This window comes from Homo sapiens, chromosome X (genome assembly GCF_000001405.40).
Source record: "Homo sapiens chromosome X, GRCh38.p14 Primary Assembly".
In the NCBI taxonomy this organism is placed as follows: Eukaryota; Metazoa; Chordata; class Mammalia; order Primates; family Hominidae; genus Homo; species Homo sapiens.
This window is the reverse complement of record NC_000023.11, coordinates 153,898,757-153,926,674: the sequence shown is the minus strand read 5'-3', so window position 1 is coordinate 153,926,674 and position 27,918 is coordinate 153,898,757. Positions and strand designations below refer to the sequence as shown.

The 27,918-nt window shown below is 57.4% G+C and overlaps 2 protein-coding genes across 5 annotated transcripts, besides 6 other annotated features; one reads left to right on the top strand and one right to left on the bottom strand.

Moving 5' to 3' along the window:
* Positions 67–656: a silencer, noted in NCBI's record as "silent region_21073". NCBI's record gives its function as "represses an Ori minimal core promoter by ATAC-STARR-seq in GM12878 lymphoblastoid cells {active_cell/tissue: GM12878}" and the evidence as "EXISTENCE:reporter gene assay evidence [ECO:0000049][PMID:35858748]".
* ARHGAP4 (Rho GTPase activating protein 4) lies at positions 411–19,297 on the top strand. 2 transcript variants are annotated; one of them, NM_001164741.2, is made up of 23 exons: positions 411–539; positions 4,866–5,070; positions 5,148–5,310; positions 5,516–5,578; positions 5,867–6,049; positions 6,989–7,108; positions 7,392–7,520; positions 7,622–7,843; positions 12,796–12,897; positions 13,075–13,266; positions 13,373–13,457; positions 13,624–13,651; positions 13,873–13,975; positions 15,486–15,546; positions 15,676–15,753; positions 15,841–15,975; positions 16,064–16,169; positions 16,271–16,504; positions 16,590–16,663; positions 16,751–16,934; positions 17,140–17,232; positions 17,506–17,605; positions 18,713–19,297. In NM_001164741.2, exons 1-23 carry the CDS (start codon positions 473–475, stop codon positions 18,944–18,946), a joined length of 2,961 nt encoding a protein of 986 aa, NP_001158213.1. In that variant the 5' UTR covers positions 411–472; the 3' UTR covers positions 18,947–19,297. The 2 variants fall into 2 exon arrangements, with proteins under 2 accessions (NP_001158213.1, NP_001657.3); NM_001666.5 differs by lacking the exon at positions 6,989–7,108.
* Positions 2,115–2,244: an enhancer, noted in NCBI's record as "active region_30042". NCBI's record gives its function as "activates an Ori minimal core promoter by ATAC-STARR-seq in GM12878 lymphoblastoid cells {active_cell/tissue: GM12878}" and the evidence as "EXISTENCE:reporter gene assay evidence [ECO:0000049][PMID:35858748]".
* Positions 2,751–3,251: an enhancer, noted in NCBI's record as "H3K4me1 hESC enhancer chrX:153188877-153189377 (GRCh37/hg19 assembly coordinates)". NCBI's record gives its function as "activates a minimal SCP1, AML or CMV promoter by ChIP-STARR-seq in naive H9 embryonic stem cells {active_cell/tissue: H9 hESC(naive)}" and the evidence as "EXISTENCE:reporter gene assay evidence [ECO:0000049][PMID:30033119]".
* Positions 5,232–5,734: an enhancer, noted in NCBI's record as "H3K4me1 hESC enhancer chrX:153186395-153186896 (GRCh37/hg19 assembly coordinates)". NCBI's record gives its function as "activates a minimal SCP1, AML or CMV promoter by ChIP-STARR-seq in naive H9 embryonic stem cells {active_cell/tissue: H9 hESC(naive)}" and the evidence as "EXISTENCE:reporter gene assay evidence [ECO:0000049][PMID:30033119]".
* Positions 16,376–17,068: an enhancer, noted in NCBI's record as "H3K4me1 hESC enhancer chrX:153175061-153175753 (GRCh37/hg19 assembly coordinates)". NCBI's record gives its function as "activates a minimal SCP1, AML or CMV promoter by ChIP-STARR-seq in naive and primed H9 embryonic stem cells {active_cell/tissue: H9 hESC(naive and primed)}" and the evidence as "EXISTENCE:reporter gene assay evidence [ECO:0000049][PMID:30033119]".
* Positions 17,069–17,762: an enhancer, noted in NCBI's record as "H3K4me1 hESC enhancer chrX:153174367-153175060 (GRCh37/hg19 assembly coordinates)". NCBI's record gives its function as "activates a minimal SCP1, AML or CMV promoter by ChIP-STARR-seq in naive H9 embryonic stem cells {active_cell/tissue: H9 hESC(naive)}" and the evidence as "EXISTENCE:reporter gene assay evidence [ECO:0000049][PMID:30033119]".
* On the bottom strand, positions 19,509–24,050 carry AVPR2 (arginine vasopressin receptor 2). Of its 3 annotated transcripts, none has more exons than NR_027419.2 (4): positions 23,783–24,050; positions 21,505–21,701; positions 20,259–20,656; positions 19,509–20,152 (listed from the first exon to the last, which is right to left on the bottom strand). NR_027419.2 is itself a non-coding variant. In NM_000054.7 (4 exons), the coding sequence occupies exons 2-4, from the start codon at positions 21,527–21,529 to the stop codon at positions 19,947–19,949; spliced, it is 1,116 nt and encodes a 371-aa protein (NP_000045.1). In that variant the 5' UTR covers positions 21,530–21,701; positions 21,904–22,002; the 3' UTR covers positions 19,509–19,946. The 3 variants fall into 3 exon arrangements, 2 of the variants coding, with proteins under 2 accessions (NP_000045.1, NP_001139623.1); NM_000054.7 differs by lacking the exon at positions 23,783–24,050 and adding an exon at positions 21,904–22,002 and having other exon boundaries at positions 20,259–21,143; NM_001146151.3 differs by lacking the exon at positions 23,783–24,050 and adding an exon at positions 21,904–21,961 and having other exon boundaries at positions 19,509–21,143.

The window sequence follows — 27,918 nt, the reverse complement described above, 5'->3', positions numbered from 1 at the left end:
GGCAACCCAGGGGGAGTCCAGAGCCTGGGGCAGCAATGGTGTTCATGGCCACTGGTACAGTGGGCCAGCGGCCCCGCTGTGAATGGTACAGTCTGGCAGTGGTGACCAGGGACAGCCTTCTGGAGGTGGTGGGATGGCAGCCTGGGATGCCAGCTTACGTTGGGGCTCTCACACCTGCTCCGGCTGCTTGGCAGCGGGGCTTTGGGCACAAGGCAGCCTAGGTGCAGGCCCAATGGGAGGGGACGGCAAGGCCGGGGCACAGTGGGGCTGGAAGGGGCGCCCTGCCCCCCCAGGAGCCCCTCGCGGGCAGTGCCAGCCCTGGGCCGCCCCGCCCCACCGGGAGCCGCGCTGGGGGCGGGGCTGGGCGGAGCCCGCGCAGGGTGCTGGCCGCAGCGCCCCCAAGTCCCGGCGCCGGGCCCGCTCACGGCCGCGTGGGAGCAGTGGGGTTCGACGGCGCGGCCGCGAGGCCGCCATGGCCGCTCACGGGAAGCTGCGGCGGGAGCGGGGGCTGCAGGCTGAGTATGAGACGCAAGTCAAAGGTGAGAGGGCGCCGGGCGCTCCCGGCCCGTTTCCTGCGGAGAACCCAAGGTCGTGAGGGAGCTCCAAGCGTCCCCGCGCTGGCCCAGGGCCCGATGCTCTCCCCAGCGACCTCTGGAGCGGGGGTGGAGGAGGGAGCCTGAGCCCCTTGCCTGCCTCCCGACGCCCATTTGGCCTCAACCGCCTGCCATTTTCCCTTCCTTCTTTCCTGTCTTCCTTCCTTTGGTCTCTGTCCTCCTTGGGTCTACCGCTTCTCACCCAAGGTTCAGTGGAGACACTGGTGGCCGCTGGTAAAAGAGAGCCAGATGCACCAACGTGCCCCTCAGAAGGCAGTATTTTAGCTACAGTGAAGTCAACCAGCTTGATTGGGCTGGGGGGTGAGTAAGGGAGTCCGGGTGAGTGGATTGGTGGAGATCACCTGGCCGTAACCCCACTGCAGTCCCTGGAGCTTCAGCACCTTTTGCCTCCCTTTAGCACTGAGGGGGAGCAGAGGCGAGGGCCACTGTCTCTGGGTCAAGCTGGCGCAGTGAGTCTTGGTTGAGAGATTTAACAGGGCTGGCTTCTCAGCCTTCTGAAATTGAACCTCTGGGTTCTGATAAACACCCATGTGCAAATCACATGCAAATCAGCTTTGCAAATTCTTAGCCAATAGCTTGTGCCCATCTTATTCAGGGCATGGTAACTCTTGCAAAGGAAAGAGGCAGCAGCTCAGTGCCAGCAGCTCGTCCATATCACTCTCAATCACTCCATTTTACCAATTACGGAAACAAGCTCAGAGAGGTGCAGTGACTTGCCCGTGGTCATACAGCACTGCAACTTCTAGGACGTAGAATGCAATGACCCTTGAAGTGCCTTTGAACCCAGAGATGTAGGTTCTAACATCATTATTCAGTGCAAGCAATTTATACCAAAGTATGCTCCAGTCCTCCTTTGGAAAAGGCAGCCTGTGTCCAGAGCCAGCTTGAGGTGACTACACAGGGTGAGCCAGCTTTCCAAGCCTCGCCATCATCTTGCTCAGATGGAGGTAATGATCTCCATCCTGCTTCCCCAAAATGCCATGAAGCTGAAAGACTTGGAAAACTTCAGTCAGCAAATATGGGTCAGTGATTTCACACTGAAAAGTTGGGGTTTCGAGCACGACTGTCTAAGGGTTCCTCACTTGCTCTGGGTCTGCATCCCACACCCTGGAAAAGCTTCCTACCATTCTACAAAGTGGGGTCACTGTCTTGACACCCTAAATTCTCAAAGGTCAGCATAGCGGTGGTTTTGGAGACCATCTTTTCTTCTGTTTTGCTTGTCAGCAGAAGTGAGACCAAATGCCTTGCTCACAGGAAGTGCTGGTGGGGCCCGGGGCCCAGCTCTGTAATTCAGGCAGACATGGATTCCAGCTCTCCTTTTGCCAGATGTTTCCTATACATCTGTGCTGTCCCAGGCCCTGGGAGTATACTGCTGTACCAGAGAGAACCCCGACTCCAGCCCCTCCAGCCCTGGCTTTTTACCCAGAGTAAAAGCAATGATTCAATGAGGACTCCCCTGATTTCAAATGGCGTCAGTGGCCACCCCGCCCTCACATGGCTCACGGGTCTAGTGGGGGAGACATAGACTTTGCATTATGATAATAAGCACTACAAAGGGAAGGAAAGTGCACGGTGCCAAGAAGGGGTCGGAAGAGGGCCAGCCCTAGTTTAGGGGGAGGTCAGGACAGGGTGTGCTGACGAGTTTGTCTGAACTGAGATCCGAAAGCTCTGCCAGGAAAGCCACCAATGCAATCGACTTGCAATTCACAAGTTGCCTGCTCAACACCAGCCGGTGTGCATGCCCGGATCTGGACTAGGACATGGCTTCCAGTCAGCTTTTGCTGCCGGCAGTGATGAAGAAAGGCAGCGGTTCCCTCTGCTGGTTCCTTCTGCACTGTTCAGTTGTCATAAGTCCCCAGGGATTGTATTCCTCTGGGGGAAGCAGGGCAGGGCAGGCTCCAGAGGGCCAGTGAGGCGAGCAGTTGTCTAACACCTTTCTTGGAATGAAATGAAATTTACTTTTATCAAAAAATGTTAAACTGGGCCAGGCGTGGTGGCTCACGTCTGTAATCCCAGCACTTTGGGAGGCCGAGGCGGGCGGATCACCTGAGGTCAGGAGTTCAAGACCCAGTCTGGCCAACATGATGAAACCCTGTCTCTACTAAAAATACAAAAATTAGCTGGGTGTGGTGGTGCGCCCCTGTAGTCCCAGCTACTCGGGAGGCTGAGGCGGGAGAATCGCTTGAACCCGGGAGGCGGAGGTTGCAGTGAGCCGAGATCGCACCACTGTACTCCAGCCTGGGCAACATCCTCCGTCTCAAAACAAAAAATCAAAACAAAACGTTAAACTGATTCAGTGAGGACTCTCCTGATTTCAAATGGCATTAGCGCCCACCCCACCTGGCCTTGGAGCTGACGAGTTAACCACAGGAGGCCAGCCTCGGATAGGATGAAGACACTCTCCATCTGTCTCACTTGGCATCGTGGGCTCTGCCCTGCTCTGTCGGGAGGTCCCGTGCCCCAGGCTTCCACTTACCCAGCTTGATCTGCCGGTGGGAAGAGCTCTCCTGTTCAGTAATTCAATTGGAAGGGTCAGGCTCCTGGGTCCCTCACCTGGCTAGTCTGGTGGGGGCAGGGAGTGGAGGGACAGAGGGATGGGTGACGCATGCAGCCAGGGCTGGGGCACCTGGAGTCAAGGGGGCTGAGACTAGGAAGGGGACATTCTCCAATAGGAGATCAGGGGAGGAGGTAGGGATGCTGGGCAGGCGGAACCCACAGGGTCCCCATGCAACAGCCCCTGGGAAGTCACTGGCGGGACAGAAATCCAATGGGATTGAGCTCTTCTCAGCGGAGTCCTCCCTCGCTGCTGCTGGTCTGAATCCTGCCGTCTTTTGCCTGGACTAGCACAGTAGCTGCCACCTGGGCTCCACCTGGCAGTGTGAGGGGGCCCTGAAAACGAAGCTGGACCACATCACCCCACTACTGTGGCTCCTCTCTCACTCGGAGTCCAGCTGGGAGCTCTGCCCAGACCCCGGGCTCTGTGCCATCTGTCCCTACCGGTCTCTCGGACTCCCCCTACTGCCCACGTACAGCCAGCTCCAGCCTTCTGCTCCAACGATGCGGCTTGTTCTTGACCACCCTCCTTTAAAAAGAGGTCCTCCCTGTCCCCACCCACCCCTGGCTCTGATCTTGCTTTGTGGGTTCATCTTCTCCGCACCCATCACTCCTGGGCATTCTGATATGTGTTCGTGCCCCATTCCAATCCCAGCTCCAAGAGGGCAGACACTTGGTCAAACCTCTTTGCCTTTGTATTTAAAACGTGCCTGCCACAGAATGGGTGCATAATCAACATTCTGCTGAATGAAGACATCAATTCATGTCCCTCCCTGGGGATGTGGATGGAGATGAGTAGGTGGGCAGCCTGCTGGCCAGAAGCTGAGCTAGCATCTTATTTACTCGGGACGGGCACTCAGGAGATGGCAAAAGTGTCTTCCGCAGGTTGCTTAAACTTGCTGGACAGGCACTTCTTTGCTTCAGGCCTGTGTGGGGGAAGCAGCGTTGCCAAATCAAGCCAGTGATAGGGTGTCAAAAGGCCGGCAGTATGGGGCCCTGGGTGTGACTCTCTCTGCAGGGTGGGGGAATGCACAGGTGGGGCGGGGGGTGATTGGGAGTGGGAAGTGGGGTCAGAAGACGGGGGCTAGCTCCCTGCCCCATTCTTTCACTTACAAGGCCGGATCAGCTCTCCCTGGCTCCCAGCCCTCACTGTGGACTGTCCTTTCCCCTGGGGCCTGAGGGCAGGCTTCCCCAGCCACTGAGACTGCGAGATCGCTGCAGGCTTGCCCTGAGCAGCACTGTGATCTGTGTGTTGTGTATCCGTGTGTTTGCAAGGGAGGCTGCCACCTCCCGGAGCCTGGGTACCGGCGGGAAAGGAAGTCGCAGGGGAAACCATTCAGAGGCTTTCCAGGAACGAGGGAGAGACAGGAAGCCAAACTGAAAGGTGCCTGGCTGGCGCTGGGGCGGCTCTCCCCTCTCTCTGGGACACCCTTCCCCTTCCCCCTCAACCGGGTGGCTCTGGCCATCTGTTGGCCTCAGCGCAGAGGTCGGCTGGACAGCTGAGGCCAGATCTGCCTGCAGGGGCCTAGCTTCTTTCCTCCCCTCTTAGCTCTTGCCCTCAGCCTAGGCTGGGTCCGAAGGAGCCCTCAGAGCCGACGGGACTGGGGTCTGTGTGCCTCTGCCTCTCCCATCCCACGCTGGCCTGGCTGACCCAGGCAGGGCGTGCTGACCAGGCCTGAGCCATGGTTCCCCCCACAGAGATGCGCTGGCAGCTGAGCGAGCAGCTGCGCTGCCTGGAGCTGCAGGGCGAGCTGCGGCGGGAGTTGCTGCAGGAGCTGGCAGAGTTCATGCGGCGCCGCGCTGAGGTGGAGCTGGAATACTCCCGGGGCCTGGAAAAGCTGGCCGAGCGCTTCTCCAGCCGTGGAGGCCGCCTGGGGAGCAGCCGGGAGCACCAAAGCTTCCGGTAGGTGATGTGCTGGCAGGGGGGCCACGGCAGGGCCCAAGCTCCGCTCCCAGGTCTCAGTGCCCCTCTACCCCCAGGAAGGAGCCGTCCCTCCTGTCGCCCTTGCACTGCTGGGCGGTGCTGCTGCAGCACACGCGGCAGCAGAGCCGGGAGAGCGCGGCCCTGAGTGAGGTGCTGGCCGGGCCCCTGGCCCAGCGCCTGAGTCACATTGCAGAGGACGTGGGGCGCCTGGTCAAGAAGGTGAGGCTCTCATCCTGGGCCACGGGAAGTGTTCGAGGCTTTGGGATCAGGAGGCACTGTGGCTGGGAGGGCACTGGAGGCCAGGTGGGGAGCAGGCAGAGCGAACCTGTGTGCCCCCCCGATGGGGCTTGATCTGGGCAGAGCTTCCAGTGCCTGGCGGGGCCGCTCTGGGCAGTGCCGTGCTCACCCTTGCCTCTGCCTCTAGAGCAGGGATCTGGAGCAGCAGCTGCAGGATGAGCTCCTGGAGGTGGTCTCAGAGCTCCAGACGGTGAGGAAAGGGCTGGGGAGGGGCCTGCCCCAATGGTCCAGGGAGAAATGCCACTCACAGTGGGGGAGGAACACCGCCAGACCATCACATCACCCCAAGCCAGGCTCAGGGAGAAGCACGCACCTAGGGGCAAAGGCCTCTCTCCCTAGGCACAGGGCGTTAGGCTAAGTGCTCACATGGGATCGCCCAGCTCTGAGGTCCAAGTTCCAGAGGGGCAGGGGTAGAGGGCTGGGGGCTGGCCCAGCCGTGGCCTTCACCAGCACCACCTTGCTTTGGGTCTCCCTGCAGGCCAAGAAGACGTACCAGGCATATCACATGGAGAGCGTGAATGCCGAGGCCAAGCTCCGGGAGGCCGAGCGGCAGGAGGAGAAGCGGGCAGGCCGGAGTGTCCCCACCACCACCGCTGGTGCCACTGAGGCAGGGCCCCTCCGCAAGAGCTCCCTCAAGAAGGGAGGGAGGCTGGTGGAGAAGGTGGGCCTGGAGGGCACCTCAGACGCAGGCCTATGGGCCATGGGCCCTAACTAGGACCTGCTGTGCTGAGGGGGAAGTCAGGGCTGGGTGCAGGGGAGGGCAGGAGTGGCAGGACAGTGCCATCAGGTTCCAGGGATTCCATACGGAAGGCTCCCAGGGCCTGAGAGAGTGGGGAAAACAGTTGCCTGGCCCTGGACAGCCCCATGCAGCCTCTCCATGCTCCCAGCGGGGCCCCTGCAGCTCTGCTGTTCTGCCAGCCATTCCGTAAGGTTTCAGAGGGGGGCAAGAAGACACTTAGGGTGGGTGATGGGGTGACACGCACGGAGAAAGGGCCTTCGAGGTGAGCCCAGTACAGAGAGTGGGGAGGCTGGGAAATGCCTGGATGGAGCCGCCAGGCTGTGCGTGGCTGACAGTCATGGTCTCTGGGACTCTGGGAGCAGAGGAGGGAGTCGAGCATCTCAGGTGTTCTTAGGGGAAATGACAGAGTTTGGCTGTGTTGGGGGAAGGTCTCCCTGGCTGCTGTGGTTAGCGTGCCAGCTTTAGCCAGGTGCGGTGACTCACGCCTGTAATCCTAGCATTTTGGGAGGCTGAGGTGGGTGGATCACGAAGTCAGGAGTTCAAGATCAGTGTGGCCAACATGGTGAAACCCCATCTCTACTAAAAATACAAAAATTAGCCGGGCATGATGGCGGGTGCCTGTCATCCCAGCTACTTGGGAGGCTGAGGCGGGAGAATCACTTGAACACAGCAGGCGGAGGTTGCAGTGATCTAAGATTGCACCACTGTACTCCAGCCTGGGCGACAGAGCGAGACTCTGTCTCAAAAAAAAAAAATAAAAAAAAAATAGAGTGCCAGTTTTAGAACCCAGGTGCCAGCAGGTTCTGTTTCATGGCTCTTGATGATCTATCCCTACCCTTTGGGGTACTCGTTCCCCCTCAGCTCTGGCCCCCGCAGAGGCCTGTGGCCGCTTCCAGCTGTGCACCTGTGTGCTGGCTCCAAGCTGGGTTTCTCGTGCACCCTCCATGGTGGGGTGCCATGTGCGCACCTTCCACTCATCAGGTATCTGTGAATAGTTCTGTGTCATCCCCCACTTCTGTGGGGAATGTTGTGGCTCGAACCAAGGCAAGTGGCGGGTGAACAGCCGGGGAATCAAGTCACCTCCTGGCACTGGGCTGAGCACACTGTGGACTGTGGCGTGGGGAAGGCAGCAGGACTTCTGGGCTTGACCAGTTCAGGTGTAGTTGTCCACAGTGGGAGGGGAGGCGATGGGCATTACATGAAAGGCTAGAGATAGGGGCTGGCCACGTGCGTGACCCTGGCACGCTTGCATTGTCTTGAGTAGCGGCAGGCCAAGTTCATGGAGCACAAACTCAAGTGCACAAAGGCGCGCAACGAGTACCTGCTTAGCCTGGCTAGTGTCAACGCTGCTGTCAGTAACTACTACCTGCATGACGTCTTGGACCTCATGGACGTGAGTCCTTGGTGGGCAGGTGGGAAAAGGTGCCTGGTGCCTCGGGGCTGGGAAGCTGTGGCTCCAGGACCTACCCAAGCATCTCCTTGTTTCCTCCTCAGTGCTGTGACACAGGGTTCCACCTGGCCCTGGGGCAGGTGCTCCGGAGCTACACGGCCGCTGAGAGCCGCACCCAAGCCTCCCAAGTGCAGGGCCTGGGCAGCCTGGAAGAAGCTGTGGAGGCCCTGGATCCTCCAGGGGACAAAGCCAAGGTTCTCGAGGTGCATGCTACCGTCTTCTGTCCCCCGCTGCGCTTTGACTACCACCCCCATGATGGGGATGAGGTGAGGGTCACCCCCTGCTGGGCTTGGCATTCTCTGGCCTTCACTGTAATGGTGGGCAGTGGAGTGGCATGACCCACACTTTGCTCAGGAATCCAAGTTCTCCATGGTCTCAGGCAGTGCGGCAGCTAGAGAAGTGTCCCACTTCCATTTGCAGCCTCACTCCAAGGGTGCACCCCCGCAATGGCCAAGGAGGGCAAGACACTAACTGTTCAAACCGTGCAGCAGGCAGCCGTGTAGCTGCCCATACATTGTTCTAGGCTGGTTTCTCTGTGTTTTTAAATTTCGTGACACAAACTTGGCAGTAAGATGGAATGGGGCTTCTTTATCCTTCTCCGTCGAGCTAGTTTTTCCTGCAGCAGTTTATCCTGATGGGCATTGTCAATGATCTGGGATTACATTGGGCCCCTTTCGGGCCGACTTGGAACTTTACGAAGAGTCCGGCATCACCAGGGCTTCCGATGGCGTCACAGCTGCTCCCTAACCCACCCCTCCCGTTCCCAGCTCCCACCCCCAGAAACAGCCACCCACCTCCCGGTGTCAAGCAGCCATTTTCCATTGGCCAATGATGACCCAGTGCCACCAGCATCTCTCACAGCCACCACACGCTTCCCTGCATCTTGTTCTCCCAGTGGGCTTATCCCAGAATTTTTGGCTAAATTAACATTCAATGTTTAAATCACCATGACAACAGGTACTGTTGGCAGCTGAGCCATGTACTGTATTAGGATCACATGTCCTTCCTTGGACAATTTTTCCTTTTCTTCTGGAATTTATAACTCTCTTGCCTCAGGAATGCTGCTTGCTAGAACATGCCCATTGCTAGGAGTTGATCGCTACCTCGTCCCAGCACTGTCCTCCACACCAGGCACCTGTGAGGTCAACCTTCTCCTCTGCGCCCTCCCCCAGAGCCTTCCAGTCTGGAGTGCTTCACTTCTGCCCAGTGCTCTGTTTCCGGATTCCACGGCAGCAGCTTTCTTAGTTTGATACCCTTATTTTGGTGACACCTTCACCAAGGGTTTCCTGACTTTGCACATCTGAAAATGTCTGTATTCTTTGTTTTGTTTTGTTGTGTTTTGTTTTTGAAACAGGGTCTCACTCTGTCCCCTCGGCTGGAGTGCAGGGGTGTGATGTGATCTCAGCTCACTGCAGATGCAACCTTCTGGTCCTCCCATCTCAGCTTCCCAAGTAGCTGGGACTACAGGCCTGCACTACAACGCCAGGCTAATTTTTCTATATTTTGTAGCAAGGGAGTTTCACCATGTTGCCCAGGCTGGTCTCAAACTCCTGGGCTCAAGCAATTGGCCTGCCTCGGCCTCCCAAAGTGCTGGGATTACAGGTGTGCCACTGTGCCCGGCCAACCCTTTATTCTTATTTCATGAATACAGTACTTCTTGAATCTTTCTGAAGCTTTTATTTTTTTTGAGATGGAGTTTCCCCCTTGTCGCCCAGGCTGGAGTGCAGTGGCACGATCTTGACCCACTGCAAACTTCGCCTCCTGGGTTCAAGTGATTCTCCTGCCTCAGCCTCCCGAGTAGCTGGAATTACAGGCACTTGCCACCACACCTGGCTAATTTTTTAATTTTTTAAATTTAATTTATTTTATTTATTTATTTTTTGAGACAGACTCTTTCTCTGTCGCCCAGGCTAGAGTGCAGTGGCGCAATGTCGGCTCACTGCAACCTCTGCCTCCCAGGTTCAAGCAATTCTCCTGCCTCAGCCTCCTGAGTAGCTGGGACTACAGGTGCCCGCCACCACGCCTGGCTGATTTTTGTATTTTAAGTAGAGACAGGGTTTCACCATATTGTCCAGGCTGGTCTTGAACTCCTGACCTCAGGTGATCCGCCTGCCTCGGCCTCCCAAAGTGCTGGGATTACAGGTGTGGGCCACCGTGCCCGACCCTTTTATTTTTATTTTTTAGTAGAGACAGGGTTTCACCATGTTGGCCAGGCTTGTCTCGAACTCCTGACTTCAGGTGATCTGCTTGCCTCAGCCTCCCAAAGTGCTGGGATTACAGGCGTGAGCCACCATGCCCGGCCTGAAATGTTTTTTGTTTTCTCCTGTTCCTGCATTTGCTCTATTTTCTTGCTTTTGTTCGTGAGTCCAAAATCCCTGCTATATCCTTTCCAGAGAGCAAATAGTTAGTTTTCTGCTGATCGTGTCTGTTTGGTGATTCTTGGCCATCAGTTCATATTTAAGAAGAGGCCTGAACACATACCCCACAAATGTGGGTGTCTGTGGTGTTTCCTCCTGGCCCGGCCAGTTTCCCCAGTAGAAACTCTTCTGACCCTGTCTAGGGAGGAGAGGGGGTGAGAGGGCTGGGGGCTCACTCTGCTGTGTGGATTTCCTTGGAACTACCTGGTTTTAGTTCCACACCCTCCAGCCAAAGCCTAGCAGGAACAGCCCTATAATCTCCATTGCTGGAGGGAGCCCTGCTCCGTGGGGAGCCTGGGGCCTCTCAGTGAGAGGGTAGTGGAAAGGCCTTAGAGGACTTGGGCTTGCCTTAGGGGATCTGGGGGAGGGCCCAGGTAAGTGGGGCTTGGTCCTGGATTGGATGCCTTCTGGAAGCAGGGTAATTGTATGATTGGATGTCTTGATTAATCTTATCTAGAAAGAGACAGTGATGGAGGCTGAAGTGATGCAAGGAAGTGACAGTCACTTACATTAGCCAGGATGGAGGGATGATTTTGTGGCTCGGAAGAAGTTCTTGATTTTGTCCTCACTCATGCGTGATCGCAGAGTGGTCTTGTTTCTGTCTTCGCCCATCAAGGTCACACAGTGGCCTTGCCTGATGTTGATGCTCTGGGTCATTTCCGGTGTTCAGCAGGACAGCACTGAGGCCGGGCTGATAGGACCAGGCCAGCTTCCGATGGTGGGGCTGCTGTGTTCTCTCATCTTCCTCATCTGGGACCAGTGTCCCTGAGTCCAAAATCCCTGCTATATCCTTTCCAGAGAGCAAATTGTTAGTTTTCTGCTGATCGTGTGAGTTTAGAGGAGGGATAAAATTTCAATGTTCCCCAGAGTATGCATACACTTATTTTTTCTCTAGAGAGAGGGTCTGGCTCTGTTGTCCAGGCTGGAGTACAGTGGTGTGATCATAGCTCACTGCAGCCTCCAACTCCTGGGCTCAAGCCATCCTCCTGCCTGAGCCTCCTCCTGAGTAGCTGGGACTATAGGTGCATGCCACCATGCGTGGCTAAGATTTGTACTTTAAAAACAATTATTTTTAACCTACTTATTTATTTATTTATTTTGAGACCAGGTTATGAGACAGGGTAATTTTTGTATTTTTGGTAGAGTCAGGGTTTTACCATATTGCCAAGGCTGGTCTCAAACTCCTGGGCTCAAGTGATCCACCCGCCTCGGCCTCCCAAAGTGCTGGGATTGCAGGTGTGAGCCAGTCCAGCCTAGATGGACTTTTAAAAAAAGGTGTGGCAGAATACACATAGCATAAAACATACCACGTTCACCATTTGTAAGTGTGCGGCCCAGGGGCAGAAGCACATTCACGGTGCTGTGCAGCCATCACCACCATCCAGCCGCAGAACTTGTTCATCTTCCCAAACTGAAGCTCTGGCCCCGTTCAACCCCAACTCCCCACCCCCCAGCCCTGGCACCCACCCTTCCACTGTCCGTCTCTACAGAGTTCACGGCTCTCCTTTGAGGCCCCTCACAGGAGTGGAATCCTACAGTGCGGGCCTTTCTGTGACTGGCTCCTTTCACTGAGTCCCATGTCCTCAAGGGTCAGCCATGTTGGAGCCCATCTCAAAATGGCCTTACTTTCTACTCTGTGACTTGCGCCTTCATGCAGTCCTGTACGGCGGGGCTTGGTGGAGATGGAGAGCAGGGCAAGTGTTTAGCCACAGCTGAATCCTCACTCTCAATTTTAACTGTAATGTCAATTTTCTAGATGTCTACATGCTTAAAAGAGTAATTCCTTCCTTTCTAAAGCGTTGGCTCCCACTCTGCCCATGAGGCAAGCTGCTCTCATCTTGCCACAGGGAAATTTATGTCTGCCCAGTTACAGTGAGCAGTTTTTCCGTCCACTCCTTTCCCTGGAAGAGGTGGGGCTGGGCTCTCCCTGTTCTGTCTCAGACCCCAGTCTTCCTTACCATTCTATTTCATTTTATTTTATTTTGAGATGGCGTCTCGCTCTGTCGCCCAGGCTGGAGTGCAATGGCTCCATCTTGGCTCACTGCAACCTCCGCCTCCCGGGTTCAAGCGATTCCCCTGCCTCAGCCTCCCAAGTAGCTGGGACTACAGGCGCATGCCACCGTGCCCAGTTAATTTTTTGTATTTTTAGCGGAGACAGGGTTTCACCGTGTTGGCCAGGCTGGTCTCCAACTCCTGAGTTCAGATAATCCATCCGCCTCAGCCTCCCAAAGTGCTTGGATTAGAGGCGTGAGCCACTGCGCCGGGCCACCATTCTGTTTTAAATAGAGTTTTATTAAGGTACGATTCATATACCATAAAATTCAGCACTGTAAAGTGTACAATTTGGTGGTTGTGCAGCCATCACCATGTAATTCCAGAACATTTTTGTCACCCCTAAAGGAGCCACTACTCCCCGTTCTCCTCTCCAGCCCCACTGGCACCCCACTGCTCCAGCTGGCACCCACTCTGCTTCCTGTCTCTATGGATTTGCCTGGCTGGACACTTCACATAAGTGGATTCATTCCTTCTCGTGGCTGAATCCTCTTCCATTCTGTGGGTAGACCGCGCTGAGTTTAGCCATCCGTCAGTTGGATGAGTGGTGCCGCCACGAACCTCTGTGGACAAGTCTTGGTTTGGACACGTGTGTTCACTCCTGCCATTCTTCAGCTGAGCGTCTGGGCTGGTGGTCCTGTGCCCGGCCGCCAGGCCACAAAAGGGTGCTTGCTTCCCTTATGCCCCGGGGATCTTGGCACCTACTGCCCAAGCCCAGCCCTTAGCCCCCTGGCCGCCGCCCTCTGCAGGTGGCTGAGATCTGCGTTGAAATGGAGCTGCGGGACGAGATTCTGCCCAGAGCCCAGAACATCCAGAGCCGCCTGGACCGACAGACCATTGAGACAGAGGAGGTCTGGGCAGCCCACCGGGGGTTAGAGGGAGACGAGGGCCTGGAGCCTGTACAGCCTGCTGTTGGAAGTGGCTGCCCTGCCTGCCCCCCTCCCTTTGGCCCCTTCCTTCTGACTTGGACTTCCTGTCTCCCTCCCTGTCCCCCACCTCTTACCACCCTGGTGTGGTCTCCTCTGCAGGTGAACAAGACTCTGAAGGCGACACTGCAGGCCCTGCTGGAGGTGGTGGCCTCGGATGACGGGGATGTGCTTGATTCCTTCCAGACCAGCCCCTCCACCGAGTCCCTCAAGTCCACCAGCTCAGACCCAGGCAGCCGGCAGGCGGGCCGGAGGCGCGGCCAGCAGCAGGAGACCGAAACCTTCTACCTCACGGTGGGGAGGGCTGGGCTGGTGGGCGGGACCCGTGGGGGCATTGCTGGGGCAGAGGGAGGGGCTCAAGCCAGGGCTAACACTTGGGGCTCTTCTTGGGGCTGCCCAGAAGCTCCAGGAGTATCTGAGTGGACGGAGCATCCTCGCCAAGCTGCAGGCCAAGCACGAGAAGCTGCAGGAGGCCCTTCAGCGAGGTGGGCCCAGTGCTGCCCCCTTCCCCGCCTCTCCCCTGCCCAGGACCCTGTCTAGCCCACGGTCCTCCCCTCCCGCCTGTCCTTGGCTCTTATCCACACCTTTCTCTCTGGGATGCCTTGAAGACCCCTGGCCCGAGAGGCAGACCAATGTTCTCCCACCCCACAGGTGACAAGGAGGAGCAGGAGGTGTCTTGGTGAGTCCTCCCTGAGGGCTGGGGCCCTGCGACGGTCCGCCATCTCTTCTCTTCCTGGGGCCCAGCTCAGCTGCCCAATCCCCTGGGCCTCACTTCCCCAGTTTTCGCACTGGATTGTGGAATAACTTCAGAGAATTAGAGGCCGGCTTGGCTGGCCTGGGGGGTGGGGCACCCTATTCTCCACACCTGGCCCCCTCAGAGCCAGCTCCCATTCACTGCAGGACCCAGTACACACAGAGAAAATTCCAGAAGAGCCGCCAGCCCCGCCCCAGCTCCCAGTATAACCAGAGACTCTTTGGGGGAGACATGGAGAAGTTTATCCAGGTACTAGCTTTGCCCCACATGCCAGCCCACCTGTACATGCTGATCTTTCTTCAGCTCTGGGTCACCTCAGTGGCCGGAGCAGCTGCCTGATCCCAGGGTCCTCCACTCTCAATCAGTCATCAACTGTCCTTTTCTGGGTGGGCCTCTTCCAGGCCACTGTTGGGCTCCCCTATAGCCTCCGCTGATTGAAGGGAGCATCCTTAACTAGTAATGGGAACGTATAGAAAACCTGGGGCAGCGGCATTTTTAGGGGCGAGATATTGAGAGCTTCTCCCCTGCGACTTCTGGCCAGCATGGTACTGGGGGTCCTGGACAGTGAAATAAGGGGAAGCAAGAAAGATCAGAAAACTAATACTGAGATCAGAAAGCATCAGAGGGGGCCAGGCACGGTGGCTCACACCTGTAATCCCAGCTCTTTGGGAGGCTGAGGTGGGCAGATCCCTTCAGCCCAGGTGTTCGAGACCAGCCTGGGCAACATGGTGAAACCCCGTCTCTACTAAAAATACAAAAATTAGCCAGGCATGGTGGCACGTGCCTGTAATCCCAGTGAAAGAAAGAAAGAGAGAGAGAGAGAGGGAAGGAAAGAAGGAAGGAAGGAAAAGAGAGAGAAAGAAAAGAAAAGAAGCAAGCAAGCATCAGAGAGGGCCAGGCATGGAGAATACCAGAAGATCAGAACTGATATCGTCATTTTCAGTGATGTGGTTATGCGTGTAGCATATTCAAAAGAATCAACAGATTCTTTAAACGAGCACTTTGAGTTTCTTTCTTTTTTTTTTTTTTTTTATTTGTTGAGACTGGTTCTTGCACTGTTGCCCAGGCTGGAGTGCAGTGGCACGATCTCAGCTCCCTGCAACCTTCACCTCCCACCTGCTGGGGTTCAAGCGATTCTCATGCCTCAGCCTCCCAAGTAGCTGTGTGCACCATCACACCTGGCTAATTTTTATATTTTTAGTAGAGGTGAGGTTTCACCGTGTTGGTCAGGTTGGTCTCGAACTTCTGACCTCAGGTGATCCTCCTCCCTTGGCCTCCCAAAGTGCTGGGATTACAGGCATGAGCCACCACACCCAGCTTGAGTTTTGAAATGTTACTTGATTCAAGATTGGTGTACAGAATTCAATTGCATTTGTATATTCCAGCAACAATTTGCAAATACAACGTAAGGCACTGCCTAAAACCTCATCAAAAATATCAGACACCTACGAGTGGATCTAACAAACGGTGTGCTAAGCCTCTGTGCCGACAACGATGATGTGTTCTTCAGAGAAAATAAAAGCACTCAGCCTGGTGCGGTGGCTCATGCCTGTAATCCCACCATTGGGGAGCTTGAGGCAGGAGTATCACTTGAGCCCAGGAAGCTGAGGCTACAGTGAGCCGAGATCACGCCAGTGCACTTCAGCCTGGGTGACAGAGTGAGACCTTGTCTCAAAAAAAAAAAAAAAAAAAAAAAGCAATTGAATGACAACACAGGGCATGCTGTGTCCATGGTGAAGTAAACACCCTCTGTCCCCAGAGCTCAGGCCAGCCTGTGCCCCTGGTGGTGGAGAGCTGCATTCGCTTCATCAACCTCAATGGTAAGCAGGACCCAGCCCCTCCCGATGTCCTGGCACCCAGCACCCAGTTCCCAGCACCTGGCATGGGAGGCCATCCTGGAGGGGCTGGGGAAGATGCTCAGTGCCCACCAGCTCCTTGTCCTCCCACAGGCCTGCAGCATGAAGGCATCTTCCGGGTATCGGGTGCCCAGCTCCGGGTCTCAGAGATCCGTGATGCCTTCGAGAGAGGTGGGGACGGGCAGGGCGGGCGGGGGTGGGGGCTCGGGCAGATGTCACCAGCTTCCTCCCCCTACCGCACCACTCGCCCATCTGCAGGGGAGGACCCACTGGTGGAGGGCTGCACTGCCCATGACCTGGACTCGGTGGCCGGGGTGCTGAAGCTCTACTTCCGGAGCCTGGAGCCCCCACTCTTCCCCCCAGACCTGTTCGGCGAGCTGCTGGCTTCTTCGGGTGAGGCTGGGGCCTGAGGCTGGCGGGGTAGGGCACTTGCTGGGGCAGCCCCGCTCACGCGGCTCTCTCTGGGCGGCTTTGGCCACAGAGCTGGAGGCCACAGCGGAGAGGGTGGAGCACGTGAGCCGCCTGCTGTGGCGGCTGCCCGCGCCGGTGCTGGTGGTTCTGCGCTACCTCTTCACCTTCCTCAACCAGTGAGTGCTGCGGGGCGAGTGCTGGGGTGGGGGCCAGGGGTCGAGGGGACAGGGGGACTCGGGGTGCGGGCTCTCTGCTTGTGATGTGCGTGTCCCCCCAGCCTGGCCCAGTACAGCGATGAGAACATGATGGACCCCTACAACCTGGCCGTGTGCTTCGGGCCCACGCTGCTACCGGTGCCCGCTGGGCAGGACCCGGTGGCGCTGCAGGGCCGGGTGAACCAGCTGGTGCAGACGCTCATAGTGCAGCCCGATCGGGTCTTCCCGCCCCTGACCTCGCTGCCTGGCCCCGTCTACGAGAAGTGCATGGCACCGCCTTCCGCCAGCTGCCTGGGGTACACCCTTGGTGCTGCCGAGGGGACTGGGGGGTCCACTGGAGAAGAGCCCCCCTCATCTGCCTCGCTCTGCCCTGAACCTCAGGGACGCCCAGCTGGAGAGCCTGGGGGCGGACAATGAGCCGGAGCTGGAAGCCGAGATGCCCGCACAGGAGGATGGTGAGGGCGATGGGCAGAGAGCCCCACCCTGTCCCCACCCTAGTGTCCACACCCCCTCCCACAGCTTGGACCCCCTCTCCTCCCCAGACCTGGAGGGGGTCGTGGAGGCTGTGGCCTGCTTTGCCTACACGGGCCGCACAGCCCAGGAGCTGAGCTTCCGGCGGGGGGACGTACTGCGGCTGCACGAGAGGGCCTCGAGCGACTGGTGGCGGGGGGAGCACAACGGCATGCGGGGCCTCATCCCCCACAAGTATATCACGCTGCCCGCCGGGTGAGTGAGCCGCGCCCTCAGGCCCCAGGGCTCCCGGAGTCTCCCCTTCATCCACCCCTCCCCCGACCCCAAGTTAGATTCTGAAGGTCTGGGCTGGGCCAGAGAACAGAGCCTCTCTGACCACTCCTGGCTGGCGCGGAGCTGCTGGCCCTGGACCCCGTGCAGGGAAGGAGCACTCGAAACAGGCCGGTCCTTCCCACCGCAGGACGGAGAAGCAGGTGGTGGGCGCAGGGCTGCAGACTGCAGGGGAGTCTGGGAGCAGTCCCGAGGGCCTCCTGGCATCGGAGCTGGTCCACCGGTGAGCAAGAAGACGGGGCTCAGGGGGCCACACGTGTGCTGTTCTAGGCCAGAGGGGACTGGGGTCAGGCTTTGGCCAGTGGGAGTGGGAGGAGTTGGCAGATGAGGACGTGACAGAATGACCCAGCTTGTGACAGGGAGAGGCTCTAGAGGAGCTTGGGGACCACTGGGCCAGCCTCCTTTCCTTGGCCACACCCCAGGATGGGAGGAGCCACTGCCCAGCTAGCTCAGGGACTTCCCAGGGCCCCCACCAGGCTCCCTGTCTGTCCTGCAGGCCAGAGCCATGCACCTCACCTGAGGCCATGGGACCCTCTGGACACAGACGACGCTGCTTGGTCCCAGCCTCCCCAGAGCAACACGTGGAGGTGGATAAGGTGAGAGTGGGTGTGTGGCAGGTGAGGGACATCTGTCCTGGGGGATCTCTGCCTCCCCTTGGAAGCCAAACTCCTCCCTCCTCGAGGTTCCAGTCGTTGCCCTCCCTGGCCTTAGCTCAAGGGAACCTGCCGCCAGACACACAGGCCCAAGGCAGAGCCTGTGGAGGGCAGGAAGGCAAAGATGTGAGGGCGGGTGGGGATGGAGAGGGACGGCTACGGAGGCAGGGATGAGAGGGACAGAAGACACCTGGCTTGCACGTTGGGATTCATGTTCAGCTTCAGAGCAGGGAGTGGCAGGGCTGAGTTAAGGCTGTTTACCTGGTAGAGGCAAGGGACTCCAGGGCAGATTCAAGGCTGGCATTTGTAGCTGGGCTAGGTAACAGGCGGTGCCATGGCAGGCGCTTGGCACGCCAGGGAGGATGAAAGGGACAGATGGCAGGGAGGCAGGAGGGGGTGGCTGGTTGGGGATTGGGGTGGGGCAGCAGCGGCTCTCGAAGGAGCAGAGCGAAGGCTCAAGATGTGGCCCTGGCAAGCGCACAACCTGGGGGACCCTGCTCCGTGCTCTGTACCATGGGCCCTGTGAACACTGTCGGGCTGAACGTGGAAGCCCGCGGGACAGTTGCTAAGCCCAAGGAGGAGAGAGCCCAAGAACATGCGGGTGTCCCAGGTGTGGCCAAGCCCCCAGGCCCAGGGAGCCCAGGGAGGGTCCGGTAGACACGGAGGAGCAGGAGCGGGAGCCAGGGACAGGGCAGCCAGGAGACGCCATGGGAGGACATTGACTGGGGAGTCCCCGCACGCTGGCGGTCCCTGAGGCCATGGGCAGGGGGCTGTGATCTCTGCCAGGGAAAGAGTGGGGGCGAGAAGAGGGGGGTCCCCACTTCCGGGCTAAACCAAGGAATTGCTGTCCTCAGAGGAGACTGTGACAGAGACACCAACAGGGACAGGAGGGATGCCAGGTGCAAAGTGGGGGAGAGTGACCTGGAGGCTGAGGGACTGGGGATGTTGGCTGAGGGCTTGCTTTGGGAGTGGGAGGAACTCAGGTGGGTCTTGGGCAGGGTCAGTCGGGGGAACTCACTGGTCACTCTCCCTTTCTTTCCCCTCCGCTAGGCTGTGGCACAGAACATGGACTCTGTGTTTAAGGAGCTCTTGGGAAAGACCTCTGTCCGCCAGGGCCTTGGGCCAGCATCTACCACCTCTCCCAGTCCTGGGCCCCGAAGCCCAAAGGCCCCGCCCAGCAGCCGCCTGGGCAGGAACAAAGGCTTCTCCCGGGGCCCTGGGGCCCCAGCCTCACCCTCAGCTTCCCACCCCCAGGGCCTAGACACGACCCCCAAGCCACACTGAGGTGCCGCTGCTGGAGATGCGTGCCCCCGGCGGCTACCCGCTGGACCGGCCACTCTCCCCAGCCCCCTTGCTTCTCTCCAGCCCTGTCCAGCAAGTGCAGGGTGCCTGCACTTCACCCTGTGCAGAGAGGTGGGATGGGGCCGTGCACACAGGGATGCCCGCTCCACATCCTGCCTGCCCCTCAGCCCTGGCCCAGGCCCCTTTTGGAGGCAGCTGAGGAAGGATGCTGGGGAAAGCCCTCTTCTGCAGCTTTGTGGAAGGCTGATCAGTGGCTGCTGGGTGGCGGGTACCCTTGCTCAGATGCCTGGCAGGGCTGGGTGGCGATTCATAAAGACCTCGTGTTGATTCCCCGATGGGAGCCAGCTCTCTGTCTCGGGTGGGCAGGTGGGTGCTGGAGGTGAGAACAGCTTCCCCAGGGGTCCTGCAGCTTTGAAGACTTGGCTGCCTGCGCCATGGATTCCAGAGCTGTGCACGTGACTGTGGGTGTGTGTGGGGAGTCTGTGTATGTCTCTGTGCTGCCTCCACACCCACCGTTACCCGGATCCAAGGAGACCCCTTGCCATGTGGAAAATGAGCTCCAATTTTTATTAGGGAGAGAATGAGGAGGGAGGGATTAGAAAGGCGGAGACAGGAAGGTCCCCTGGCCCCAGCCTGGTCCTTCCTTTTCAGGCCCCTGGGACCGCTGTCTCACCTGGGGGCACCTGCTCCCTCTTTCCTGCCACTCCTCAGGCCTCTGCTGCAGCCCCTCCTACACCCAGCTCAGTGAGCTGACCTGAGGGGCCCCCACAGTCCTGGGGCCTGAAGCTCTCCTCATACAGCTGGGGATGTGGAGACCCAGGCAGGGGCTGTGGCTTGTCCAGGGCCACACAGTGTCCCAGCCTCGGGGCCACAGGCTCTGGCCAATTCTCCACGGGTCCCCCTCCCAGTGGCTCCCAGGACCAGCCCCAGGAAGGCAGCTGAGCTTCTCAAAGCCTCTAGAGGCAAGACACCCAACAGCTCCTCACGATGAAGTGTCCTTGGCCAGGGAGGAGCTGGCGGTGGTGCAGGACTCATCTTGGGGACCCAGGCTGGGTGGGGTGCGTCCCCGGGCACAGCAGAGCAAGCTTCGCAGCTCTGAGGACACGCTGCTGCTGAAAGATGCATAGATCCAGGGGTTGGTGCAGCTGTTGAGGCTGGCCAGCAACATGAGTAGCACAAAGGGCGCCCCTGTGGAGGTGGAGGATCTAGGTTGGGTTCAGGATGGCTGGTGGGGCACAGGGGCATGCGGCCAAGCCCAAGTGGCCCCGTCAGCCCTAGCCACGGCTACACCCACCTTCCAGAGGTGCCTCCGGGTCCCACGCGGCCCACAGCTGCACCAGGAAGAAGGGTGCCCAGCACAGCACATAGACGACCACAATCACTAGCGTCATCCTCACAGTCTTGGCCACAGCTGCTGACACGTGGGCTCCCTCACCGGGGCTGCCTGTCCGGCGTCCCCTGCGGCGCCCCCCAGGCCTCTCTGATGGCCCTGGCACCAGACTGGCATGAATCTCCCGGAAGATGAGCACCTGGCAGGCGGCGATACCCAGGGTAGGTGCCACGAACACCATCAGGGCAATCCAGGTGACATAGGTGCGACGGCCCCAGGGCTCCGCAAAGCAGGCCCAGCAGTCAGTGACCCCGCTGCCACCTTCCACGTTGCGCTGGGCGAAGATGAAGAGCTGGGGCAGGCTGAGAAGGAGCGAGAAGGCCCAAGCCACTAGCACCGGCCGGTTCCAGTGAGCCCCACTTCCATGGCGGTACGCCAGCATGGGACGGCAGATGGCACGGTGGCGGTCCAGCGTCATGGCCAGGATCATGTAGGAGGAGGCATACATGCCCACCATCTGCAGATACTTCACGGCCCGACACAGGGCATCTGGCCCACGGAAGCGGTCGGTGGCCTTCCAGGCCAGCTGGGGCAGCACTTGGAACAGAGCCACGGCCAGGTCGGCCAGGCACAAGTGGCCAATGAAGACGTGTATGGGTGCCCAGTGGCCCCGCCGGCCCCGCCGAGCTAGGGCCGCCAGCACCAGGCCATTGCTCAGGGCCACAGCCACAAAGACTATGGAGAGCAGCGCCAGCTCCGCCCGGGCTAGCAGCGGGTCCCGGGTGTCCAGTGGCCTCTCCTGGCTGCTGTTGCTGGGCAGGCTGGGCAGAGAGGGATGCCCAGGCACAGCTGGGAAGGAGTCGGGAAGAGGGCCTGGTTAGAGAGGGTGCTGTGCAGGGGGACTCAGGCCTGCCTCCCGTGCCCCCATCCGGACACCCACTTCCTGGCTCCTAGCAGAGGGGACTCCAGGAAAGCCATGTTATGAGGGATACACACCCCAGGCTCATGCAGTCCAGAAGGAAGGGCAGCCCCAGCCCCAGCCCCAGCCCCAGCCCTGGCGGGGAAGTGGGGCTGTGCTCCCCTCCCCACTCATTGGCAGCCTGGAGAGACACACCCAGAGGTGAGGGTGAAGGAGGTCTTTAGAAAGAGGGGCTTCCCTGAATCGTCAAACCCACTCTGCCCACCGGACTCATGGAGGGGCAAGCCTTACCGGAAGTGGTGGACGCCATGAGCATGGTGGGGCTGGGGCAGGTGTTCTGAGGGCCTGGAGGTGATGTGCGGACTCAGCCTCTGCCTGAGGAGCAAGTTCAATGGCCCAGGGTCTCTGGACTGGAGCCCTTATAGAGATGCCAGCATGGCAGATGCCTGTTGGCGTGTGTGCACGTGTCGGTGGCAGTATGGCCAGTCCTGGGCAGGGAAGATTGAGAGGGATGGTCAGACAGACGGATGCACAGAACCCAGGATCCCCCAGGCAGCCCATGAGTCCCGGGTTTGGGAGTGGGCACCCCAGACAGACACGCAGAACTCCCCTGCCCCAACCGAGGCCGAGAGAGGCCACCATCCGAGGGCTGGGGACTGGGCAGGGGGGCAGGCAGGCGCAGCCCCTTACCTGGCTGGGCTCCTGGGCAGCTGGGCGGTGGCGTGAAGGTGGCTGGGTGCTCAGATCTGCTCTCCATCGGCTGCCCTGCCCTGGCCCAGCCCAGCCTCTGGGAGTGACCTGGCCAGGAGGGGACTTCCTCCCCCTCCCCCTTTCCCCCAGGCCTCCCCTGGCCTCCTGTTTCCCTTCCTTTCCCCAGGGCCTCCCTGGTCCCGGCCCAGGACTCCCTCCTCCCACTGCCATAGCCTCCACGCCCACCCTCACCCTACCACGCCCCCCTGGTTGGATTGTCTGGGTTGGCAGTGCTCTGGGAGGTCACTTAGTTCAGCATTCCCATTTTATAAGTGGGGAAACTGAGGCCAGAGAGCGGTGGGTCTGGCCCAGGACTGCGCTGCTTTTTCATGGGAGCTTCACGCCCCCTTCCCAAGTTGGGGTCCTCCTGCTCCTCGCTGGGCCCAGGCAAGGAAGGGGTGAAAACACTTTCGCTGGGCCCCTCCCAGGCCCACGCAGGCCCCTCCTCCTCCCCAGTTAGGGCCCAGTTGGCCGGAGACGAGGGACAGGAAAGGGAGGAGTGGGGCAGGGGCCAAGCCAGGCTTCACGAACCCCTGTGAGATCCAGGGACACCCCCACCCTCTTCCTCCTGCCCCACCTGCAACTACCTGTCCTAGGAAGAGGGGCTGGGGACCTCCGTGTGCTCACGGGCTCCCTCCCACCACACACAACCTCACATGATACAGCCACACAGCCACAAACACACAACACAGAGACGCTCGCTCATGTTCTTGAACATACCATGAGTATGGACGCACCTTCCCTGTACCTGAGCCCTCCTCCTCCCTCCCCCAACACCTCTCTCCTTCCCCTGTCCCCACACCCCCTCCAGCCCCCATCCCAGTAGTTCTCTTTCCACTCCCCCCGCACCCAGGCCTGGCTTGGCTCAGCCGAGGCCAGCCCAGCCCAGCCCAGCCCAAGGCAGCTGCTTTCTTCCTGTTTGTCTGTCTTCTCTGTTGCCTGTGAAGCCAGAGACCAAAACAGCCTCACGGACCAGGCCCAAGTCCGGCCCGCGGCCAAGGCCTCCTCTTCCTGCCCAGAGAGCCTGGCAGCACCCTGGCCCCTCCCGGCCCTGTTAGGGTGGTGGGAACACAGGGTGGGCATTTTCCAGAGACAGCGCACACACCACACCACATACATACATGCACACAGCCACACGCCACACACACATGCACCCACCACACACCCATACGCCACACCACACACACACCACACCATGCACACATATATTACACACCACACACATGCACACATCACACACTCCCATACGCCACACACCCACACATGTACCCACCACACAGCCATACACACCACATACGCACAGCCAACACCACACACGCACACACCCGCAGCACACACAGGTGCACATCACACCCCGCATCTTTGCCATGTTTTTGCAGAGCCCCTTGGGGGCAGGCTGCAGAGTGCTGGCACCCCAGGCCTGACGCTTCAGCTGCATCTCCTCAGCGCATGCACATCCTCATGCTGTCCCCAATAACCGCATGCTGTCACTAATCTAGGAGCATAGAAAAGGCCTTCCTAATGCCACCCAGATCAGTGGAATAGGAGATGGCTTCCCTCAACTGGCAGAGAATTTGGGGACCCTGGCTGGGGAATAGGAAAGCAAGGCTCCAGCCCCTGCTTGGCCCCTGCCCAGTAGTGTGACCTTGAACAGGCCACGCCAGCTCTTGGCACCTCAGCTTCCCCTTCTGTGCAATGGGACTTGATGATTGAGGGAGACTACGGTGGTAAGATGGGCAGGGGTGGGGACTGGCAGGGCCTTGGGAAAGCCTTTGTTCCCTCCGTCTAAAGCCGGCTAGGGCGAGGAATCCATGCTAACCTTTTGGGGTGAGCAGACAACCATCTCCTTATCAGTTTCTCTGCCTGAACGAGGCTGTGCAGTGCCGGATCTCAGCAGCAGGTTGGGACCTCCCCTAGCAATGTGGCCAGGCCCGTGGCAATCTCTGCCCCCCTGGACTCCTCGCTTCCTGTTGTTAAACTAGGGAAGAATCTGGAGGAAGGGCCCGCATGGCGGTCTCCTCTGGGATGCAAGAAGCCAGATCAGGATCCAGTGCCATTCTGCTCAGCCAGGACCCCGGGGAGGAACTGGGAGCCACATGGGCAGGCACTACATGGAACTGTGCCAGGAGAGAGGCCCTGGGCAGCCACCCCTCGGGGGCCAAGAAAGATGGGGCTGGGCAGCAGCTCCCATGGGAAGAAGGGCAGACTGTGCTGATTCACGCTAGGCCCACATGAGTCACTCAAGCCCCTGCCCTTGGGCGTTAACGGGCAGGGCATCTACCTGGGGGTGTGCCAGGCCCCCACTCCTGCCAGCGCAGCCCCTGTGTGCACACCTCCCACTGGTCCCTCTAAGACTTGCAGAAAGGGCTCTGTGAGTGCCAAGGTGTGGCTCCTGATCTTCCAGCCTAGTGTCTGGGCAGAAGAGGACAGGAGGCAGATTGGGGGGACACTGTTTGTCCCTCTCTATCTACCGGTTCCCCATGATCAGAACCTTCCATTCACCAAACTGCAAGTGCCGCTGGCCTAGCACTGTGGCTGCAGAGATGGAAGGACCTGGGCTCTGCCCCAGGAGCACATGGGCTTCTGCAGAGAAGAGTGGAGGCAGGGAGGCTGGTGGAAGCTGTGCCTGTCACCCAGGAGAGAAATGGTGCGACCCACTTAACACTGGGCAGCGGGGCTAGAGGGAGCAGGCAGGTGGAAAAGGCATTTAAAGGGCCCTGAAGGATTTGTAAGGGGTGGAAGACAAAGAGGAGGCAGCCAAGGACGAGGAGAAAGAGGCCCCCGATTGTGTGGGAGGGGTGCATGTGCAGATGGTGGAGCCTGTGGGCAGTGGGAAGGACGGAGCCAAGTGCCTGTCAACAGGAACGGCCCTCACAGGGACTGTGACCCGAAGGAGAATACCTAGAGCCCAGGAGATAGGGAGGAACAACGGGTTGGAGGATGGGATTGAAGGGGACAAAAACAAATTTAATAAAAACTCAAGTGTACTTGTGTGAATGTGAGGGTGTGTGTGAGGGTGTGCGTGTGTGAGGGTGTGAGAGTGTGTGAGGGTGTGTGTGAGAGTGTGCGTATGTGAGGGTGGGCGTGTGTGTGGGGTGTGTGTGGTGTGTGGTGTGTGAGGGTGTGCATGTGAGGGTGTGTGGTGTGTGTGTGGCGTGGGTGGTTGTGTGTGAGGGTGTGTGGTGTGTGTGTGTGTGGCGTTGGGGGGGTTGTGTGTGAGGGTGTGCGCGTGTGTGAGGGTGTGTGCGTGTGTGAGGGTGTGTGCGTGTGTGAGGGTGTGTGCGTGTGCCAATGATGACAGGAAGACAGCCTGCGGATGATCATCTAATTGTGTCCATTCACCTAAGTGAATAATAACTGGGAAAGCTGGACAGAGCCTGTTTATAGCTGCGGAAAGGCAGCCCATGGAACTGGATAGATTAAGAGCCTCGCGGAGTGGAAGGGAGGGCCAGGGTCTCCAGCAGGTGCTGGGGTGAGGGGCGGGGGGTAGAAGGAGGGTGAGCGTTGAGGGCTTGAGGGCCGTACCCATAGATGGCCTCCAGGTCATCATGTGAGAGTCAGGCAGGAGGCGGCTCCCTGGCAAAACTGCAGAGATTTTTTTTTTTTTTCTTTTTTAAAGGCAGTGGCCCCTCCCGCTTTCCTCCCCAGAGGCGGCCGACTGCAGTTGCTGTTAGTGGGCTGTTTGGGTAACTGCCTCGGGGTTTCCCAGTCTGACTTCCTCTTGCTCTCTCTGCCTGCACGTTCCTCCCCCAGATTATTGCAGCAGCTGCTCCGGGTGTCTTCAGTGCTCATGCACTCACCACCCTGGAATGGCCCTCCGCAGGCAATGATTTCTCTCCTCCAGAATGACTTTTTTTTTTTTCGGCTTTATTGAGGTATGATTAGCATACAGTAAAATTCATTAATTGTAATTGTACTGTTCAGTAAGATTTGACAAATGTATACAGTCGTGTAACCACAACCACAATCATGACATAGAATAAATATTTTCGACATTCCAGAAAGTTCCCTCGTGGCCTTTTGCAGTCAAGCTTCTTCCCCTACCTGAAAGCCTAGCAACCACTGATCTATCACTATAGATTTTCCTTTTCTAGAATTTTATATAAATAGAATCATAGAGTATGTAGTATTTTCAAAAATTAGCCGGGCGTGGTGGCGCAAGCCTGTAATCCCAGCTACTCAGAGGCTGAGGCTGGAGAATCGCTTGAACCCGGGAGGCGGAGGTTTCAGTGAGCCGAGATCTTGCCATTGCACTCCAGCCTGGGTGACACAGCAAGACTCCGTCTCAAAAAAAAATAATAATAAAAATAAATAAATAAATAAAAGAGTACATAGTATTTTGTGTAACTTCTTTTTTTTTTTTATATTTTTTTTGGTGGGGAGGAGGCATAGTCTCTCACTCTGTCACCCGGTATACTGAAAGCTTTTATCACAAGTGAGTATTGAATTTTTTTCTTTTTTTTCTTTTTTTTTTTGAGTCGGAGTTTCACTCTTGTTGCCCAGGCTGCAGTGCAATGGCGAGATCTTGGCTCACTGCAACCTTCGCCTCCCAGGTTCAAGAGATTCTCTTGCCTCAGCCTCCCAAGTAGCTGGGATTACAGGCAAGCGCCACCATGCCCAGCTAATTTTGTACTTTTAGTAGAGACGGGGTTTCTTCATGTTGGTCAGGCTGGTCTCGAATTCCCGACCTCAGGTGATCCACCTGCCTCGGCCTCCCAAAGTGCTGGGATTACAGGCATGAGCCACCACACCCGGCCAATTTTTGTGTTTTTAGTAGAGACAGGGTTTCATCATGTTAACCAGGATGGTCTCGATCTCTTGACCTCTGATCCACCCACCTTGGCCTCCCAAAGTGCTGGGATGACAGGTGTGAGCCACTGTGCCTGGCTGTTGTTTACCATTTTTACATCTGTATTAATGAGAGATGCTGGTCTACGTTTTCCCTTTCTGTAATATCTTTGGTTTGGGGATGAGTATAATGCTGACTTTATAAAACGAGTTGGGAAGTGTTCTCTCTTTTTCTGTTTTCTGGAAGAGTTAGTATAGAATTGGTATTATTTACACAAACCTGGAGTTTTCTTTGTGAGAATTTTTTCAGTTATAAATTCAACTCTTCTGACAGATACAGGGCTAATCAGGTTATCTATTTTTTCCTAAATGAGCGTTGACCATTTGTATCTTTCAAGGAATTTGTCCATTTCATCTAAGTTGTTGGATGTATTGGAATAAGTTTTTCACAACATCCTCTTATCACTTTTTTATGTTTGTAGGATCTGTAATAATGCCCCCTCTCTCTTATTCTCCATATTGGTAATTTGTATCTTCTCTCCATTTTTTTTTTCTGATCAGTCTGGCTAGAGGCTTATCAATTTCATTGATCTTTTTGTTTTGTTTTGTTTTGAAACGAAGTTTTGCTCTTGTTGCCCAGGCTGGAGTGCAGTGGTGTGATCTTGGCTCACTGCAACTTCTGCCTCCCAGATTCAAGCAATTCTTCTGCCTCAGCCTCCTGAGTAGCTGGGATTACAGGTGCACACCACCACGCCCAGCTAATTTTTGTATTTTTTAGTAGAGATGGGGTTTCACCATGTTGGTCAGGATCATCTCGATCTCTTGACCTCATGATCTGCCTGCCTCGGCCTCCCAAAGTGCTGGGATTACAGGTGTGAGCCACCGTGACCGGCTCTAGTTTCTTAAAGTAGAAATTTAAATAATTATTTTGGGACCTTTCTGCTTTTCTAATATAAGTAGTTCCTTTTCCTCTAATCAGTTGTTTTGTTGAATTCCCAAATTTTCATATTTTATTTGCATTTCTATTCAGTGAAAGATATGTTCTACCAATAATTTTACTTGTGGTTTCTTCTTTGGTTCTTGGGTTATTTGGAAGTAGATATTTTTTCATTTCAAAATATTTAGAAAATTCCTAGATGTCTTTTTGTTGTTGATTTCTAATTCAAC